This window comes from Homo sapiens, chromosome 2, assembly GCF_000001405.40.
Source record: "Homo sapiens chromosome 2, GRCh38.p14 Primary Assembly".
Lineage (NCBI taxonomy): Eukaryota > Metazoa > Chordata > Mammalia > Primates > Hominidae > Homo > Homo sapiens.
In genome coordinates, this window is record NC_000002.12 from 27,663,800 (window position 1) to 27,683,938 (window position 20,139).

General features: G+C 41.0%; 1 protein-coding gene across 1 annotated transcript in view, besides 1 other annotated feature; it reads left to right on the forward strand.

The window, feature by feature from the left end:
- Positions 1-89: 89 nt before the first annotated feature.
- Positions 90-20,139, forward strand: part of SLC4A1AP (solute carrier family 4 member 1 adaptor protein) — a 31,081-nt gene continuing 11,031 nt past the window's right edge. The window contains exons 1-9 of the mRNA NM_018158.3: positions 90-778; positions 1,301-1,496; positions 3,469-3,591; positions 5,044-5,104; positions 5,449-5,588; positions 11,733-11,893; positions 13,496-13,565; positions 13,939-14,125; positions 18,449-18,560. Of these exons, the coding sequence (NP_060628.3) occupies positions 116-778; positions 1,301-1,496; positions 3,469-3,591; positions 5,044-5,104; positions 5,449-5,588; positions 11,733-11,893; positions 13,496-13,565; positions 13,939-14,125; positions 18,449-18,560 (1,713 nt within the window). The 5' untranslated portion in view covers positions 90-115. The remainder of the gene's footprint in view (positions 779-1,300; positions 1,497-3,468; positions 3,592-5,043; positions 5,105-5,448; positions 5,589-11,732; positions 11,894-13,495; positions 13,566-13,938; positions 14,126-18,448; positions 18,561-20,139) is intronic.
- Positions 17,866-19,065: an enhancer, noted in NCBI's record as "BRD4-independent group 4 enhancer chr2:27904532-27905731 (GRCh37/hg19 assembly coordinates)". NCBI's record gives its function as "activates an origin of replication core promoter dependent on BRD2, P300/CBP, MED14 and CDK7 cofactors, and independent of BRD4, by STARR-seq in HCT116 cells {active_cell/tissue: HCT116}" and the evidence as "EXISTENCE:reporter gene assay evidence [ECO:0000049][PMID:35650434]".

The window sequence follows — 20,139 nt, forward strand, 5'->3', positions numbered from 1 at the left end:
ACCATCGCCGCCTACAGACGCCACTGGGAGCTTGGGAGAGTGGGACGTGGACAGGAACGTAAAGACCGAAGGGTGGGTTTCGAAGGAGCGGATTTCGAAGTTGCACCGGTTGAGGATGGCTGACATTCTCTCTCAGTCAGAGACCCTGGCGTCGCAAGACCTCAGTGGGGACTTCAAGAAGCCAGCTCTGCCGGTGTCCCCAGCGGCGCGGAGTAAGGCCCCGGCCAGCAGTTCTTCAAACCCTGAGGAGGTACAGAAGGAAGGGCCCACTGCGTTGCAGGACTCCAATTCTGGGGAGCCCGACATCCCTCCTCCTCAGCCGGACTGCGGTGATTTTAGGAGTCTACAGGAGGAGCAGTCGCGCCCCCCGACAGCGGTTTCTTCCCCTGGCGGTCCAGCCCGGGCTCCCCCCTACCAAGAGCCTCCATGGGGTGGCCCTGCCACAGCCCCCTACAGCTTAGAGACCCTGAAGGGCGGCACTATCCTTGGCACCCGTAGCTTGAAAGGGACGAGTTACTGCCTTTTCGGGAGGCTGTCTGGCTGCGACGTGTGCCTGGAGCACCCTTCGGTGTCTCGGTACCACGCAGTGCTGCAGCACAGGGCGTCCGGCCCTGACGGAGAATGCGACAGCAACGGGCCGGGCTTCTACCTCTACGATCTGGGAAGCACCCATGGCACTTTTCTCAACAAAACTCGCATCCCACCTCGCACCTACTGTCGAGTCCACGTTGGGCATGTTGTTCGCTTTGGAGGCAGCACCCGGCTCTTTATCCTGCAGGTAGGTAGAAAAACCTAGAATTGAAATTTCGGGTTCATTGGACTGCGTTCTTGTGCTTCTTAAGCTTTGGATGAGGAAGAAGAATCTCCCACTCAGCGATTACGAAAGTGAAGGAATCAAGTCTGGCCTATCATCTTCAGACGGCTGTACACATTGCTATATTTCTGAAAGTCATGTTCACAATCCCGAACTCTAAAATAACTTGTTTGGCCAGGCGCGGTGGCTCGCGCCTGTAATCCCAACACTTTGGGAGGCCCAGGCGGGAGGATCGCTTTAGCCCAGGAGTTTGAGAGGAGGCTGGGCAACATGGCAAGACCCTGTCTCTTAAAAAAAAAAAAAAAAATTAGCCAGGCATCATGGTCCCAGCTGCTCAGGAGGCTGAGGTGGGAGGATCACCTGAGCCCAGGAGGTCAAGGCTGCAGTGAGGTGTATTACAGCCACTGCACTCCAGTCCAGCCTAGGCGACAGAGCAAGACCCTGTCTCTAAATAAATAAATAACCTTTTTTTCCTTGGTTCATCAGGGACCAGAGGAAGACCGAGAGGCAGAATCCGAGTTAACAGTAACACAGTTGAAGGAATTGCGCAAGCAGCAGCAAATATTGTTGGAGAAGAAGATGCTAGGAGAAGACTCAGATGAAGAAGAGGAAATGGATACCTCTGAAAGGAAGATAAATGCTGGTAGCCAAGATGATGAGATGGGTTGCACCTGGGGAATGGGTAAGAAATTAAAATTGCTGCCGGAGGTTAATATTTTAAGTTCATTACAAGTGGTACCCTTAAATGTTTTTTTAAATCATACAGCTTTTCATGGCTCCTTGAGATAGATAGGGCAAACACAATTTGCACATGAGGTAACCAAAACCCAGAGAGATTCACTGACTTTACTGTTGTAAAGAAATTGACTTATAGGCACTTTGGATTTTTTAAAAATTTATTTTTAATGCACTCTCTTGTTCAAAACTTGTCCTAAGCATAAAATTATTATTTTTACAATTCTAAAATTTTATATTTATTAAGTACTGACCTTGTGCTATGTGATTATCATTGGAGGGGATGGAACTCTATTCAATCAAATAAATGGGATGTTATTCAATATAGGATATTCTCTTGAATTTTTTGTACTTTGTGAAGATATCCTGAAATGTGGAATATCTAATCAGATAAAGCTGGTCCCTTAGCCAAAATAATAAACTTTCTTTAACACCAGATATTTTAGAAAATGGATATTCAGGAGATGGGAGTATAAAAAGGTAGAAGATGGCATTAATATATAGTTGGGAAGATAGGAAAAATTATGAAATTACTTGTGCTAAGTGCCAAACAAAAGCTAGAAACCATAAGTATGCTAGAGTGAAAGTTTGGAGAAGAGAGAACAGTCACTGGGGACTTAGACCTGTGTTGTCTGATATGGTAGCCACTAGCCACATGTGGTTACTGAGCACTTGCAGTGTGGCTAGTTGCAATTGATGTGTGCTGTAAATGCAAAATACACACTGAATTTCAAAGACTTAGTCTGAAAAAAAGAATGTAAAATATCTCTTTCATGATATTTTTATATTGATGACATGTTGAAATGACAATAATTTTACCTGTTTCCTTTTAATTTTTTAATGTGGCTAATAGAAAATTTAAGATGACGCATACAGCTGTCATTATATTTCTGTTGGACAGCACTGACTTAGATCTTTGGGAAACTTAATTTTTTTTATTTTAGTAGAGATGGGGTTTCACCATATTGGCCAGGCTGGTCTTGAACTCCTGACCTTGTGATCCACCCCCCACCCCCCCCCCCCACCCCGCCCCCCGGCCTCCCAAAGTGTAGAGATTACAGGCGTGAGCGATCGCACTCCACAGGGAAGCTTTATGAGCATAAGGATTTTGAGCTGGAACTTGAAGGAAAGGAAAAGCCTTATGAAGCTGAGTATTGGGATTGGTATTCAGGGTAGGAATTGATGATTTTAAGGAAGTTGTGAGTAGACCAGTCTATTTGGCAGATATAAGAAGTATTAGGAAATTATATTGGGAACGAAAGTTAGATATGAGTGTGAGAGAACAAGAATGCCAGGCTGAGGAGCTCAAATTTTTTTTCCACAATGTGGTAGGTAATTTTACTTTTAAAATATAATGATGGAGAAAAAAAAATTAAGGTGCCATGAAAACAAGTTTTGACTTGTCACACAATTTAGAAAACCTGAATATGCTCATACTAGTGGTTTTGTGGTGGTTGTTCCACCCCCTGTCCCTGCAAGTATTTATTATTTTTCATCACAGATAAACTATATATATATATATATTTTTTTTTTTTTGGGAGACGGTCTCACTGTGTTGCTTGGGTTGGAGTGCAGGTAGCGCGATCTTGGCTCACTACAACTTCTTCCTCCCAGGTTCAAGCAATTCTCCTGCCTCAGCCTCCCAAGTAGCTGGGATTACAGACACCCGCCACTGTGCCCAGCTAATTTTTTTTGTATTTTTAGTAGAGATGGGGTTTCACCATGTTGGCCAAGCTGGTCTTGAACTCCTGACCTTGTGATCCACCTGCCTTGGCCTCCCAAAGTGCTGGGATTACAGGCATGAGCCACTGCGCCCAGCCTAAACTATATCTTTATGCAGCCTGAGAGAATAGTGGGTATCATTCAAATAGTCTCTTCTCATGTCTGATTATCTTTTCTTTCTTTTCCATATCCTGTAGGAGAAGATGCAGTAGAGGATGATGCTGAAGAGAACCCTATTGTCTTAGAGTTTCAGCAGGAAAGGGAGGCCTTTTATATAAAGGATCCCAAAAAGGCTCTCCAAGGCTTTTTTGACCGAGAAGGTATGTAAACAGATTCTGACCCTACCACTAAAACATATCCAGAGCAGTGTGGTTTTCTAGAGCTTCATGTTGAGCTTTATACTAAGATATGCTATAATTTTATTGCTGTCCTTCTTGTTCACTTTTTACTCTTGTGGTCAGTTGCTTTAGGTTTATTTTGAAAATTATTCCTCATTAGTATGGCAGAGGGGAAAAAAATCATAAAAATCTTGTTAGTCTTTCTTCTTATCTTAAAAAAAGGAAGTACTTTTTCCTGACTCATCTCATTCTTCTCAAAAGATCCTGGACTTTGGTGGTGGGGAAATTGAGCCAACTTCCTGTAGTTTTTTAATTCCGAATTCACCTGATCTTTTGTAATTCCTAACATAGGTTTTGATTTTATATTATATGATTTAAAATTTTTTTTCCATAGAGGATTGTTTTGGTAGGAATACTTTGAGAGAATATCTATGTATATGTATGTATATCTGTATATATTTTATATGTATATATAAATAATATATGAAATAGCTGTGCACTTAATATCTGTGCTTCTAAAAACCAGGCAACTGTGTTAAAATAACCACTAAAGTCTACAACTTATAAAAGTGAAACATACTATACAGTGAACAGAGCTATGTATGGAGAATTGGTTACTTTGATCTGAGTTTGTTTTTTTCTCTGCCTCAGACTTACTCTAATTTTATTATCAGACAATAATCCCTAGGAATGAGAAGTGAAATGCATTGAAATTTATTATTCAGTGTGGTATGGGAACTTGTTCTTTTTTTTTTTTTGAGACGGAGTCTCGCTCTGTTGCCCAGGCTGGAGTGCAGTGGTGCGATCTCGCCTCACTGCAAGCTCCGCCTTCCGGATTCACGCCATTCTCCTGCGTCAGCCTCCCGAGTAGCTGGGACTACAGGCGCCCGCCACCACGCCCGGCTAATTTTTTTTGTATTTTTAGTAGAGACGGGGTTTCACTGTGTTAGCCAGAATGGTCTCGATCTCCTGACCTCGTGATCCTCCCATCTCGGCCATCCAAAGTGCTGGGATTACAAGCGTGAGCCACCGCGCCCAGCCAGAACTTGTTCTTTTTTTGAGACAGGGTCTCACTCTGTCGCCCAGGCCGGAGTGCAATGGCGCAATCTTGGCTCACTGCAACCTTGACCTCCTGGGTTTAAGCTATGCTCCGGCCTTAGCCCCCGTAGTAGCTGGGACAAAAGTCACGTACCATCATGCCCGGCTAATTTCTGTATTTTTTGTACAGATGGGGTTTTGCCATGTTGCACAGACTGGTTTCGCGCTCCTTAACTCAAGCTGTCATCCCGCCTCAGCCTCCCAAAGTGTTAGGATTACAGGCGTGAGCCACTGCTAGGAACTTGTTCGTATTTAACGTTTGTTCTCATTTATCATTGTATCAACTAGTAATTTTTGGATTCTATTAAAATTGTTTTGTCTGTCTTTCTCCCACAGGAGAAGAATTAGAATATGAATTTGATGAACAGGGACATAGCACTTGGCTCTGCAGGGTGAGGTATGCTCTTTTCTTATTAATGTTCTTTTCTGGAAAATGGCCAATTTCAGGTTTAATGTATGGTTATAGATAACAACCCAAAGAGTAACTTTCATCTAAGTTTAAGCTATTTCTAAATTTGAGCCTTTATCGTTTAGTAACCCTTATATTATTGGAGAGTGGGGTGGGATGGGTAAGAAATAGAAAGAAAATATTTTAAATCCAACATTGGAAAGATAGAACAAGATGGATTCAAAGACTGAAAGGCCATCTAAAAAAAAAATGACTATTATCATAGCATAGTAGTTGTTTTCTTGAGAATTGGAGCTTAATGCTGTGCTATAATTCCCACCAAATCAATGAAGATTACCTGTGGACGATTCAACTGGAAAACAACTGGTGGCTGAGGCCATTCACTCAGGAAAGAAAAAAGAAGCAATGATCCAGTGCTCATTGGAAGCTTGTCGGATTCTTGACACTTTGGGATTGCTTCGGCAGGAAGCAGGTCAGTATATAGGAGCCCTTTTTTTCTAGATTTAAAAAAAGGAAAACTCAACACAAACGCTAATAAAACTTCTTTATGGGGGGAAAATGTAAATTGTACAAAATTTTTTGAAGTGAAAAGAGAAAAATTCTCAATACCCTAAGGTAGCCACTGTTTATATTCTCCCAGACATTTTCTATGCATATATAGATGTGTGCTGAGACCTAGATCCTTTAACAAAAAACACTCATACACAAATGTAGTCATATTAATTACAATCTTTTGTGACTTACTTTTTTAACATAAGAATGTATCATGGATGTTGTTATTATTATTATTTTTGAGATGGAGTCTCACTCTGTCACCCAGGCTGGAGTGCAGCAGCATGATCTCGGCTCACTGCAACTTCCGTCTCCCAGGTTCAAGCCATCCTCCTGCCTCAGCTTCCCTAGTAGCTGGGTCTATAGGTTGCACCACCCTGCACAACTAATTTTTGTATTTATTTATTTATTTTGAGATGGAGTTTCACTCTTGTTGCCCAGGCTAGAGTGCAATGGCGCAATCTCACCTCACTGCAACCTCTGCCTCCCGGGTTCAAGCGATTCTCCTGCCTCAGCCTCCCAAGTAGCTGGGATTACAGGCATGCACCACCATGCCTGGCTCATTTTGTATTTTTAGTAGAGACGGGGTTTCTCCATGTTGGTTAGGCTGGTCTCGAACTCCCAACCTCAGGTGATCCACCTGCCTCGGCCTCCCAAAGTGCTGGGATTACAGGCATGAGCCACCGCACCTGGCCAATTTTTGTATTTTTGATAGAGACGAGGTTTCACCGTGTTGACCAGGCTGGTCTCGAACTCCTGACCTCAGGTGATCCACCCGCCTTGGCCTCCCAAAGTGCTGGGATTACAGGCATGAGCCACTGCGCCTGGCCGTATCACGAATATTACATCAATACATTAATATGTATCAATACATTAATTGTGTATTTTGCTTTTTTTTTTTTAAAGTCTGAGTAGAGCATCATTTATTAATAAGGCTTATATTATATTTTTATTATTGCAAAGTAACTTATGTCTGGTTCAAAACTACCAAAAGGCTTATAATAAAATATACTTGTTCCTTGCCCTACCCATCCTCAGTCTTCTTCCCTAAAGGCTTTCAGTTTTTTCAGTTATTTATTCTGGCATTTAAAAACACCTGTATTTCTTGGCCGGGCGCGGTTGCTCACGCCTGTAATCCCAGCACTTTGGGAGGCCAAGGCAGGCGGATCACGAGGTCAGGAGATCGAGACCATCCTGGCTAACACGGTGAAACCCCGTCTCTACCAAAAATACAAAAAAAAAAATCAGTTGGGTGTGGTGGCAGGTGCCTGTAGTCCCGGCCACTTGGGAGGCTGAGGCAGGAGAATGGCGTGAACCCAGGAGGCAGAGTTTTCATTGAGCCGAGATCGCGCCACTGCACTGCAGCCTGGGTGACAGAGCAAGACTCCGTCTCAAAAATAAATAATTAATTAAATTTAAAAAAAAACAACAAACACCTGTATTTCTTTTCTTTTCTTTTTTTTTTTTTTTTTTTGAGATGGAGTCTCACTCTGTCACCCAGACTGGAGTGCAGTGGCATGATCTTGGCTCACTGCAACCTCTGCTTCTCGGGTTCAAGTGATTCTTCTGCCTCAGCCTCCTGAGTAGCTGGGACTATAGGTGCGTGCTCCACACCCAGCTAATTTTTGTATTTTTAGTAGAGACAGGGTTTTACCATATTGGCCAGGCTGGTGTCGAACTCCTGACCTCATGATCCGCCTGCCTTGGCCTCCCAAAGTGCTGGGATTACAGGCGTGAGCCACTGCGCCCAGCCTAAAAACACCTGTATTTCTAAGAACAAGAGTATGGTGTTATATTTTTAGTCACTTATTTTAGACGTTACCTGTCGACTCTGCTAAATTAGTATTTAGTATTTACGTGATTATGCTTATGCAAATATTAGTTATAACTGAGCAGTTTTATTTCTTTTTGTTTTTCCTAAGGGTAATAATTGCGTTTGCTTTTCATGTGTTTGGGGCTTTTTTGTATTTCTTGCTCATTCCTCCCACACCTTTCAGTAGCCTCACCACATCAAACAACTTAATGATTAAGTAATTTATCAGTTCTGATTTGTTTTGGAGACACTTTTTCTGAAGAGCACTATTTTTCTTTCAGGGCTTATTGCTCTGCAGATCTGCTACAGAACTGTCACCTGGGACTTAACTTTCCTATCATCCTTAAGATTTCTTTGTCCTTTCTCCAGGGTTGACTTTTCTGTTTCTTGATTCTCATATTCTCATATTTCTTGGTTTATTTCCTTGCACAGTAGTACATCCTTCTGTACTTTTAGCAGATTAAAAAGCTGGTACAACACTAGAGGGCATGGGTGATGATAGTCTTCAATGAATTTCACATCTTTCCTTTTCTTGGTCTACTCTCTTGTTTTGGTGGACATCCTCTAGTAGATTTCAGAGAAAGAGTGTATAGGAAATAAATTTTATTAATCCTTCTCTTCTGAAAATATAATTATTGTAGCTTCACTCCTGATTAATAGTTTGGCTGGGAATACAATTCTAAGTTGGAAACAATTTTTCTTATTTTACATTCAGTGTTGCTTTTGAGAAATCCTAAACTGTTCAGATTTTGATCCTATTGTATGTCATCTTTTTTTTCCGCCTTGCCAGAGCTTGTAAGAGTTTCCCTTTGTTCTAAAGGTTCTAAAACTATGAAGTACTTTTCTGTGGGTCTATTTTTCTTCATTTTTCTGGGTACTTGTTGGATCCTTTTGATCTAGAAACCTTGGCTGTTCAGGAAGTTTTCTGCAATTATGTCATTAATTGTTTCGTCCCTCTGTTTTCTATGGAATTTTATTATTCAGACATTGGACCTCTTGGACAGACCATTTAAGTTTTTTTTCTTCTTTTTTTCATCTGTATGTCTTTTCCTTCTTGAGAGATTTCTGCACCTTTATCTTTCTGTCTTCTCTATTTTGCCATCAAGGTTTTAATTTCTTTCTCTTTTTTTAAAGTTTTTAAAATCAGGCAGTCTTTCATGCCAGAGAAGGCTCAGAGACTCCAAGGTTTTAATTTCTAAAAGTTCATTTTTGGTTTTTGAATTGTCCTTTTTAAAACATAATATCCTCTTGTTTCATGGGTTGTAAATATCTCCTCTCTGTTTTCTCCATGTTATTTTTCTTTTTATGTGGTCTCTGTTCTGCATGTTAAAGGCTTTTCTTAGGTGTCATGTAATTCTTCATTGTAGTTTTTTTATTTGGGGATGAAAAAGGTGATTGACAGTTTGGAATATATAGGTGGGGTTTCTGCATGGAATATATAGGTGGGGTTTGTTGACTTTGAGCAGTACTATTGAATGATGTGGGTGGGCCTTTTGTTGGGGAACCCTTGATTTAAGTATCCTTTTGGTTTTCCTCGTCTGTGAGCGAGATTCCCCAGAGAGTGCTCTTCCAATCTCCTGCCTGAAACGAAAGGACTGGCTGCCAGCATTCCTAGAGCTAAGTGGTAGAAGGTGGCTGAGTGGCTTCTCATTCAGCTGTTTTCAGGACAGTACTATTTTTAGATTATAGTGCCCATGCCTTCAACTTTACTAGTCAACTCGTAATCCAAAGGCTTTCTGTTTTACCCTTTCCAGAGATTAACCTCTGGATTTCTACTGCAGATGGAAAGGAGATGAGTAGGCAGGGAGGAAGATCTATTTCTCAACCAGTTTTTACTTAGTCCTCCATAACCTTAGTATCCATCCCCAGTTGCAGATCCGTTTGAGGATTCTGCAGTGTAATCACTTTGGCTCTCAGCTTTCCCCACTGTTTAGGATTTATCTTTTTAAATTCTGCTAAGTTAGTTTCTACTCATCTGTCTACTTTCTAATTTTCTAAAATTTGGGTCTTTATGAATTTCTTTCTCTCTCTCTCTCTCTCTCTCTTTCTTTTCTTTCTTTCTTTCTTTTTCTTTTCCTCCTTTCCCTCCCTTCTCTTTTTTCCTTTCCTTTCCCTTACTTTCCCTCCCTCCCTCCCTCCCTCCCTCCCTCCCTCCCTCCCTCCCTTCCTTCCTTCCTTCCTTCTTTCCTTCCTCCCTTCCTTCCTTCTCTTTCCTCTATGCTGCCCAGATTGGAGTGCAGTGGTCTGATCACAGCTCACTGCAGCATCAACTTCCGGGGCTCAAGCGATCCTCCCGCCTCAGCCTCCTAAGTAGCTGGGACTACAGGTGCACACCACCATGCCCAGCTACTTTTTTTAGATTTATTTTTAGTAAAGGCAAGGTCTTGCTATGTTGCCCAGGCGTGGGTACATCTCTTTACTATGGTTTATTGGGATTTAGGGAAAGAGGGAAATTAGATATGTGTGTTTAATGTACCATCTTAACCTGCAAATTAGGCTTATATTAATAAGGACTATTTTCCTTGCAAATAATAGAAGTCCAATTCAAACTAGCTTAGGGGAAAGGTCATTGGCTGCAGAAGCTGGGAAGAATAGCTCAGGATGAAGGAACAGGAGTGAAGGAACAACTGCATGAACCAGAACCTCAAGTTCTGAAACCATAACTTAGTACTACCAAAGTAGACTCAGCATCACCAGGACATATACAAGTTGTGTGTGTGTGTGTGTGTGTGTGTGTGTGTGTGTGTGTGTCTGTGAGTGAGTCTGTCTCACGAGTGCATTTTTAAACTTTGCAGACAGATTCTTACCCTGTGCTGAAAAGCTGATTGCTTACAGCCCTGAACTTAACAGTCTCTCACTTTAATAACCTCATTGTAAAGAGAGCCTCTTTGCCCCATCTCTAAATATAAATATGAGGGAAAGAGTCTTACTGATTTGGCTTTGGTCCTATGACTATCCCTAAACCAGATAAAATGGGGGAGGAATTTTCTAGGGGAAAGAGGTACTTTTATCAGAACAAAGGGAGTAGAATGTTGTAGGGTGAACAAAAAAGTAATAGCTGTCATAGTTTCTTATTGATGGACTCTTTACATATTCACTGTTATAAATACTATTGCATTGATATTTATAGAATAAATTCCTAGAAGTGGAATTGCTGGATCAATGCATTTTTAATGGCAGATATTGTAGGCTTGACCATCAAAAAGGTTGTATCAATGTACATTCCCACCAATTATTAATCTTTTTATGTTTTTCTAGTCTAATAGATGAGAAGTATCTAATTTTTAAATTTGTACTTTATTTTTTTTTAAAGTAACATATTTAAAAATATTTATTGTATTTTTCTGTGAACTGCTTTCATTATCCTTTTTCAAATTTTCTTTTGGGTTATTGTCCTTTTTCTCATTTTTCATTTTCCTTTTTTCCTCATTGATTTTTTTTTTTTTTTGAGATAGAGTTTCACTCTTGTCACCCAGGCTGGAGTGCAGTGGCGCTTTCTCGGCTCACTGCAACCTCTATCTCCCAGGTTCAAGCAATTCTCCTGCCTTAGCCTCCTGAGTAGCTGGGATTACAGGCACCCGCCACTATGCCCATCTAATTTTTGTATTTTTAGTAGAGACGGGGTTTCACCATGTTGGTGAGGCTGGTCTTGACCTCAGGCGATCCATCCCCCTTCAGCCTCCCAAAGTGCTGGGATTACCATGCCTGGCCATCCTCATTGATTTTTAAAAGCCGTTTGCTCATTAAATAAATTAACTATTTGCTTTAATGAAAAATTATTTAATAAGAAATTGTGGGAAAATATACATAACAGAAAAGTGTACCATTTTAAGCATTTTAAGAGTATCACTCAGTGGCATTAAGTACATTCACAATATTATGGAACCATCAACACTGTTCATTTTGGAACTTTTTTATCATTCCATACTGAAATTGGTATCTGTTAAACACTAACTTCATTCTCCCTCCTTCCCAGCCTCTGGCAACCACCATTCTACTTTTCTGTCTCTATGAATTTGACTACTTTAGGTATCTCACATGATGCAGTAAGTGTCCTTTTATATATGGCTTATTTCACTTAGTATAATGTCTTCAAGGTTTAGCCCTTTGTTTTTATACGTAGTTTGGCAGCTTGTAGAACCTCTCTTTCAGTAGTTGATGGTGACATTTTAAGCTCCTTGCCTACTTGCCTTCTTTCTTTTTCTTTTCTTTTTTAAAAACTTATTTATTCATCATTTTATCTACCTCTAGTATCTCGGAAAAGGAAAGCCAAGAACTGGGAAGATGAAGACTTTTATGATAGTGATGATGACACATTTCTTGATAGGACTGGCCTGATTGAGAAGAAGCGTCTGAACAGAATGAAGAAGGCTGGCAAGATTGATGAGAAGCCAGAGACCTTTGAATCATTGGCAAGTTTTATTTATGGAAGTAGCTGTGGTATTTAATAGTTTAATTTTTAATAACATAATGTATTATTTAAATATGTTTTATGATAATTTTTAAAGTAGTAGCATTGAAATCTGATACTGAAGTATAACTTTTGTGGTCTGTTAATTTAATGGTAACAGACAACTAGTCTTATCCAAGTTGTTTGAAAAAAATATGGCTTGCTGCTAGATCCTTTCCTTCAGGATATTGATCCATTAATTAACATTCTTTGGATATGATATTACCTCTCTCAAAAGGAAAGGAAAAAGTTCCAAGTTAGGGCGTTCTGAGGTGAAATTGACTTTAGCCTTCTGGCAGTCAAGAGAAGTCAAAGGAATTTTGAAGAATGTAGTATGGTAATATGTAGTCTGAAACAGTATGTTCTTCAGGAAATTATCACAAGGTGACGTGTTAATGGGTAGGTAACAGACAATAATAGGCAGGTAATAGGCTACCTATTAGACTAGAAAAAAACATAAGATTAATAATGCAGAGCTTGACCAGAATATGGAGAAGTAGACTCTCAATTGGTGGGAATGTACAATACAACCTTTTAAGTGATCAATCCTACGACATCTGTCAGTATTAAAAATGCATTGATTCAGCAATTGCACTTCAAGGAATTTGTTACAGGTATTAATTTATAGTAGGATTCAGAGCTTAAAACATTACCCAACATCTATCCTTTTGATTTATGTGAAAACAAATGCCTTGAGCTCTTTCTTCTGAGTAAAATGAAGTCCGAGTTATTCATTCTGTTTAATTCTGTGTTTTTTAATTCAGAAATAAATTAAATTTGGATTTAACACATAAAAAGTGTTAACTCCTGGCTGGGCATGGTGGCTCATGCCTGTAATCCCAGCACATTGGGAGGCTGAGGCCGGTGGATCACCTGAGGTCAGGAGTTCGAGACCCACCTGACCAATGTGGTGAAACCCCACCTCTACTAAAAAAAAAAAAATACAAAAATTAGACAGGCGTGGTGGTGTGTGCCTGTAGTCCTAGCTACTCTGGAGGCTGAGACAGGAGAATTGCTTGAATGCAGGAAGCAGAGGTTGCAGTGAGTCGAGATCACGCCATTGCACTGCAGCCTGGGTGACAGTGCGAGACTCCATCTCAAAAAAAAAAAAAAAAAACTATTAACTCTGGCCAGGTGTGGTGGCTCACACCTGTAATCCTAGCACTTTGAGAGGCTGAGGCAGGCTGATCATGAGGTCAGGAGATTGAGACCATCCTGGCCAACATGGTGAAACCCTGTCTCTACTAAAAATACAAAAAGTAGCTGGGTGTGGTGGTGCACACCTGTAGTCCCAGCTACTTGGGAGGCTGAGGCAGGAGAATCGCTTGAACCCGGGAGTCGGAGGTGGCAGAGAGCCGAGATTGCACCACTGCACTCTACCCTGGCAACAGAATGAGGCTCTATCTCAAAACAAAAAAAAAAGTGTTAACTCCATAAGTAGCAGTTTAACTGGACTTTTGAATTAATCTTCTTAAAACTTCTAGTAAGAATAATTAAAACAGGAGGATGAAAAACAGTTTGAAAGAAGAAAAACTTTGTAACCCTGTTGATTTGGGTGTTACAGGTTGCAAAATTAAATGATGCTGAAAGGGAACTTTCTGAAATTTCTGAGAGATTGAAAGCCTCAAGCCAAGGTAAGTTTTTCATCAAATATTTATTAATATACCACATATAGTGCTCTATGCTAGGCACTGGGGCTACATTAGTTAATAAGAAATACCATACAGAATATGGAGCCTTTTAAAGGAGCAACATACCGTTTTAGAACTAGAAAGAACATTATAAATCATTTGGTTTAACCTCTTTATTTAATTGTTGAGGGGAATGAAGCACATTGAGACAAAATGACTTCCCAAGGTCTCATGGCTATAACCTGTTCCTTATTCCTATTACTAGTGATGTCCTCTGTCCGGTTTTATGTTAGTGACTTTTATATGGAAACTTTGGCTGAATTTTAAAATATTCAGGATCATCTTTCTAAACATGTGTTATTCTTTTCTTGGACAGTTCTATCAGAGTCTCCATCTCAGGATTCTTTAGATGCGTTCATGTCAGAAATGAAATCAGGCAGTACATTAGATGGTGTGTCCCGGAAGAAACTTCACCTGAGAACTTTTGAACTGAGGAAAGAACAACAGAGACTTAAAGGGTTAATAAAAATTGTAAAGCCAGCAGAGATTCCAGAACTAAAAAAGTAAGTCTTAGTTATATTTGGAATTCTAAATAAGTATGGTAGCATAGATAACATTTTCAATTATCGCTTTATCTTCTTAAATAATCATTATATAATACAAATGTAATGCAAGGAACCCTTTAAAGCACAGAAAGCAGTGGTTTCATAGAGTAACTAAAAACCTGTTTCATATTTGTGAAATATAGACTGATAGAGGATTTTCTGAGAAAACTATATTGATTTCTGATTCATTGGAAGGTTCCGAAGTTTTTTTTACTTAATCTTTTAGTGTAGAATAAACTCCTTTAAAAAGCATCATGCACAAAAAGCTAATTTATCTAATATAAAAAGACCTCTGAGGCTGGGCGTAGTGGCTCATACCTGTAATCCTAGAACTTTGGGAGGTTGAAGCAGGCAGATCACTTTCAAGACCAGCCTGGGTGATATGGCACAACCCTATCTCTACAAAAAATAAAAACATCAGCCAGCCATGTTGGAGCACACCTGTGGTCCCAGCTACTTGGGAAGCCGAGGTAGGAGGATCGCTTGAGCCCAGGAGTTCCAGGCTACAGTGAGCTGTGATCGTGCCATTGCACTCCAGCATGGGTGACAGAGGAAGTTCCTGTCTCAAAAAAAAAATTAAATTATTAATAAAAAGACCTCTGAATGATAAGTAGACAGCCAACCACCCAGGAGAAAAATGAGTAAAGGATGTCTACTCACAGGCCACAGGAAAAGAAATACAAATAGCATCTTTTATACAAAGATGCTCAACTTCATGATCATAAGAGAAATACAAATACTACAACCTAATACCTTTTTTTTTTTTTTTTGAGATAGGGTCTCACTGTGTCACCCAGGCTGGAGTGCAGTGGCACAGTGACAGCTCACTGCAGCCTTGACCTCCTGGGATCAAGTGATCCTCCTGCCTCAGCCTCCCAAGTAGCTGGGACCACACGCATGCTCCACCATACCTGGCTAATTTTTAATTTTTTGTAGAGATGGGGTCTTGCCATGTTGCCCAAGCTGGTCTTGAACTCCTGGCCTCAAGGTATCTGCCCACCTCAGCCTCCCAAAGTGCTGGGATTACAGGTGTGAGCCACCACACCTGGTCTTAATAGCATTTTTATATATGAATTTGATGAAGATTAATTATGATTTTATACTGTGCTGATGAGGCTGACAAAAAGGCACTTTCTTATATTGTCATTGAAGGACAAATTAGTACATTCTCTACAAGACAAATTGGCAGTCTCTATCCTGATTACAAATGCACATGCCCTTTGATCTATTTCATTTCTAGGAATTTGTCCCTCACATACTTAGGAAATGATGTACAGCATTGTTTGTATTAATAGTAGTAAAAAATTAGAAATCCCCTAAATGTTTATCAAAGGGGATGGATTAAATAAATTGCGGCCAGGTGCTGCGGCTTACGCCTGTAATCCCAGCACTTTGGGAGGCTGAGCTGGGCGGATCACGAGGTCAGGAGATCGAGACCATCCTGGCTAACATGGTGAAACCCTGTCTCTACTAAAAATACAAAAAATTAGCCGGTTGTGGTGGTGGGTGCCTGTAGTCCCAGCTACTTGGGAGCCTGAGGCAGGAGAATGGCGTGAACCAGGAAGGTGGAGCTGGCAGTGAGCCGAGATTGCGCCACTGCACTCTAGCCTGGGCGACAGAGCGAGACTCCATCTCAAAAAAATAAATAAATTATGGTGTAGATATACAATAGAACACCATATAGCTGTTGAAAAAAAAGGCAACTATATATAAGATACAGAAACACTATCAAGATAAGTAACAAAAGCAAGGTGCAGAACGGTGTGTATAACAGGCGCTGTCTGTAAAAAATGATGGTGGGGGAAGAATACATAGATAAGTAGGCCATGGTTATGTTTATAATATCTGTTTAGGTCGGGTTCCCTAAAAACAGACTGAATCGGAGATTCATCTGCAAGTGATTTATTAAGAGAGTGCTCTCAGGAGAAATCTATATGGGAGTGAGGGAAGCAGGAGAGGGCAGGAGAAGAAGCTGGGCTAAGATATGGTTTCAGGAGAGCCTGAATGGCACCACAGATGCCATGGAGGCATGGGGCTTGGGTTTCGATACCCTGTCCCCCCAACCCTTCATTGGTCATAGGCTGCCGGTGACTGGGGGGTGGGAGGGGCTCACAGCAATTCTGGGAAGGGTGCAGGTGTGAGCCTTTAGCAGCCGATGTCTGCAGTAGCTGTTTGGCCTGATAAAGGGAATCTGGGAGGGACAGCATCTGCTACTGTATCTCTGGAAAGATTCGTTAAAAATTAATAATATTGATTGCCAATGGGGAAGGCAACTGGGTGGCTGGGGGACAGCAATGGGAGGGAGACTTTTCACAGTATATGTGCTTTATACTTGAGTTTTGAACATGTGAATATACTTTCTATTCTATTCAGATATACTGAATTTGAAAAGAAAATCCTGTACCAAATAGCCATACCACTTTAGGTCCAAATTTACTGTAATGTAGTTGCAGTTCTAGTTCTAAATAACAAATAACTGGAAAAAGTAAGAATCATATAATAATTTTGTTACAGTAAAACTATTTGTTAATAAAAGTGGCTGGGGACGGTGGCTCACACCTGTAGTCCCAGAACTTTAGGAGAGTGAGTGAGGTGGGAGGATGGCTTGAGTTCAGGAGTTTGAGACCAGCCTGGGCAACATAGTGAGACCCTGTCTCTACAAAAGATAAAAACTTAGCTGGGTATGGTGGTGCTTGTCTGTAATCCCTGCTACTTGGGAGGCTGAGGTATCACTTGAACCTGGGAGAGTGAGGTTGCAAGACCCTGTCTCAAACAAACAAACAAACAAAAACAAAACAAAAACAAATCTCTGCTTTGGAAAACAACAACAACAACAACAACAACAACAACAACATTTGGGGCAAGAAGAATTAAAAAAAAAAAAAAACGAAAACGAAATATGTCTCAGCTTCCTCCAGAGCCTCCTCTCCTGCTATCAGTCTGTGTGCTTGCCTGGTTTTTCCTCCCTTTCCTATTTTGGATACTGGTCTAGATGTGTATCTTCTTCCTCCTCTTTTCACTTATGGGTTGAACTTCCAAACTTTCTGCCTCCTACCCTAACCCCTGCAAGCAATCTTGATTGTGATTCCATCTTCTGCTTTTTCATCTCCTTTGAGCCAGTCTTAGCTTATCCTCTAGGCCAGCCTGGCTTTTTAATGTAGCTGAAAACATCTGTGTTGCTGTTGCTTCTGTCTTTCTATGCCAGAGCCTTCCTGAGGCCTGTGGGGAAGGGTGTGAAGGATAATGATTTGACAAAATGTCCTTCATGGCCAGGCAGGCAGCATTCTTCTGGTGGCCTTAGCAAGGGAATGGGTTTTATCTCTGGTAGGGAGAAAGGGGCTTGAGGCTGGACTTAAGAGTGCTACTAAGGGGATAAGACTTAGGTAAAAGAAGGCAGTAGTAGCAAGTGGGGCTTCAGGGAGGGCCAGGTAGCTAACATCTGGTATGGGTCACTGTGAGTCGAATGCCATTACTGTCCTTATATTCCAGTTTTCAGGGCTGTCCCATGGTCAATATGAAGAAAACAGAGGGCTTTCTTTTCAGTCTAGTATGCTTATTCTGGGGTTTCCTCTGTCTCCTCATGCCATATTCTCATTGTCACCTCTGCCTGCTCTGAGTATCTTGTCAACTGAATTGCTATCCCTTTTGTTTTTGCTCTGTTCTCCCCCTGCCTTTCTAATTTCTACTATCTCTTCTTTATACCCTTCCTCAGCTTTGTCCTAATGGGCTTAGCTTTTCTAACTATCTCCAGCCGTTGAGAATGTTGACAGGCTCAGCAGTTGCAGTCTCTCACTATATCTTTGTCATTACTACACTGGGTATCCTGCATACTGTACCCCCATCCCCATGCACACTTTTTTTTTTAAGTGCTCAGAGCTATTGCGCTTAAGTGGGAGCTCCAGATAAGTAAGACACTCTTCAGAGGTTGGTGGGAAGTAGGGCTTTACACCATGGATCAATCTCCTGCTGCTTATATGTTCTCCTTTGCCAGTGACCTTTGTACTGTAGTCATTTCATGGGTGTGAAGTCATGTAGCATGTGGCAAATTACTTGACTAAGGGAGCAGCCTCATCATAGCTCTGTGTCTGTGACAGTCAGCATTGTTCTTGTCCATTCAAAATCTGTTGGTCTGAATACCTCTTTCTTATTGTTATATGCTTAGATATTCATTTTGTGGTAATTTTTATTTTGCCAGAGGTTTCTTTGTCAGTATCATGGTATTTTTAGATAAAACCTTGGGACTCCCTGGAATAGATGTGTATAATTATTCTTTCTTCCTAGGACTGAAACTCAGACTACAGGTGCAGAAAACAAAGCTAAAAAGCTTACATTGCCTCTATTTGGTGCCATGAAAGGAGGAAGCAAATTCAAATTAAAAACTGGAACAGTAGGGGTAAGTTGTGAGTCAGGGTGTTAAACTTTTAGCCCTTGAGTTATCCCTGAGCTAATTTTTCTCTTTTCTTTTTTGAAACTACAAATGACTCATTCCATAGTAATGTGAGAAAGGGCTGTGGGCTTGGTATGATCACATCTTTCCCAGAACTTGGTTCTTGGATTCTTTTTTTTTTTTTTTTTTGGAGACAGAGTCTCACTCTGTCACCAGGCTGGAGTGCAGTGGCGTGATCTCGGCTGACTGCAACTTCCGCCTCCCGGGTTCAAGCAATTCTCCTGCCTCAGCCTCTCGAGTAGCTGGGACTACAGGCGTGCTCCACCATGCCCAGCTAATTTTTGTATTTTTAGTAGGATGGGACTTCACCATGTTGGCCAGGATGGTCTCCATCTCTTGACCTCGTGATCCACCTGCCTTGGCCTCCCAAAATGCTGGGTTTATAGGCATGAGCCATTGTGCCTGGCCAGTTTGTGGATTCTTTTTCTCAGCTTAGGGTTATCAAGAATTGATGAATTAATTTATGCCAATCAATTTGCAAGTAAATGGTTTGTAAATTAGAATCATAGTTTATTAATTTCTCATGAATGTTGCATTTAAGAATGGGTCTCCTGCATTAAATGCTTTTCCCCAGGTGGATAGATGTAGTGTTCAGACTCACCAACATTTAAGAACATAGTGTGTGCACTTGCCTCTGCCATATGATTTTTCTTCATTTAATCCTTCCAACACCTTTTGCTGTGTGGGAATTATTGCCTCTTACAAATGAGGAAATAGAGTCAGAGAAGTTAAATACCAGATCACACCAGCGTTATGTAACTAAGCTGGTAATCAGATCCAGGTCTGTCTCTTGAGCTTTATGATTTCCCTGCTACCCTACAATATATGTCTGTCTGTATGTTTTTGCTTTATCTATATTCCTATTCATAGATTCAGCTTTTAAAAGGTTTTCATTACCCCTAAGAGCTGAACCTTGAGTATTAGTTTGCTAGGGCCACCATAACAAAATACTAGGGATTGGGCAGCTTAAACAACAGAAATTTATTTGTTCACAGTTGCCAGCAGGGTTGGTTTCCTCTAAGGCCTCTCTGCTTACCAATGGCTGCCCTCTTGCTGGCTCTTCAGATGGCCATCCCTCTGTGCACTTGCACTCCTGGTGTCTCTTCTTCTTCTTCTAAGGACATGAGTCATACTGAGTTAGGGCCCCACCCTAATAGTGTCATTTTAATTCAGTTTAATTTAATTTACAGTCATATTCTGAGGTACTGGGGCTTGGGACTTCAAACATGAATTTGGGCAGCAGGGGGCACAATTCGTCCAAAACACCCTGAATTAGGGTATACTGCCCTCTGGTGGCAGAAATCTGAAGTCCTAGCTATGTATTCTTTTTGTTTGTTTCATTGAGAGACAGTCTCACACTGTCACCCAGGCTGCAGTGCAGTGGCCATCTCGGCTCACTGCAACCTCCTCCTCCCGGGTTCAAGCGATTCTCCTGCCTCAGCTTCCCGAGTAGCTGGGATTACAGGCACCCACCACCACGCCCAACTAATTTTTTGTATTTTTTTTTAGTAGAGACAGTTTTTCA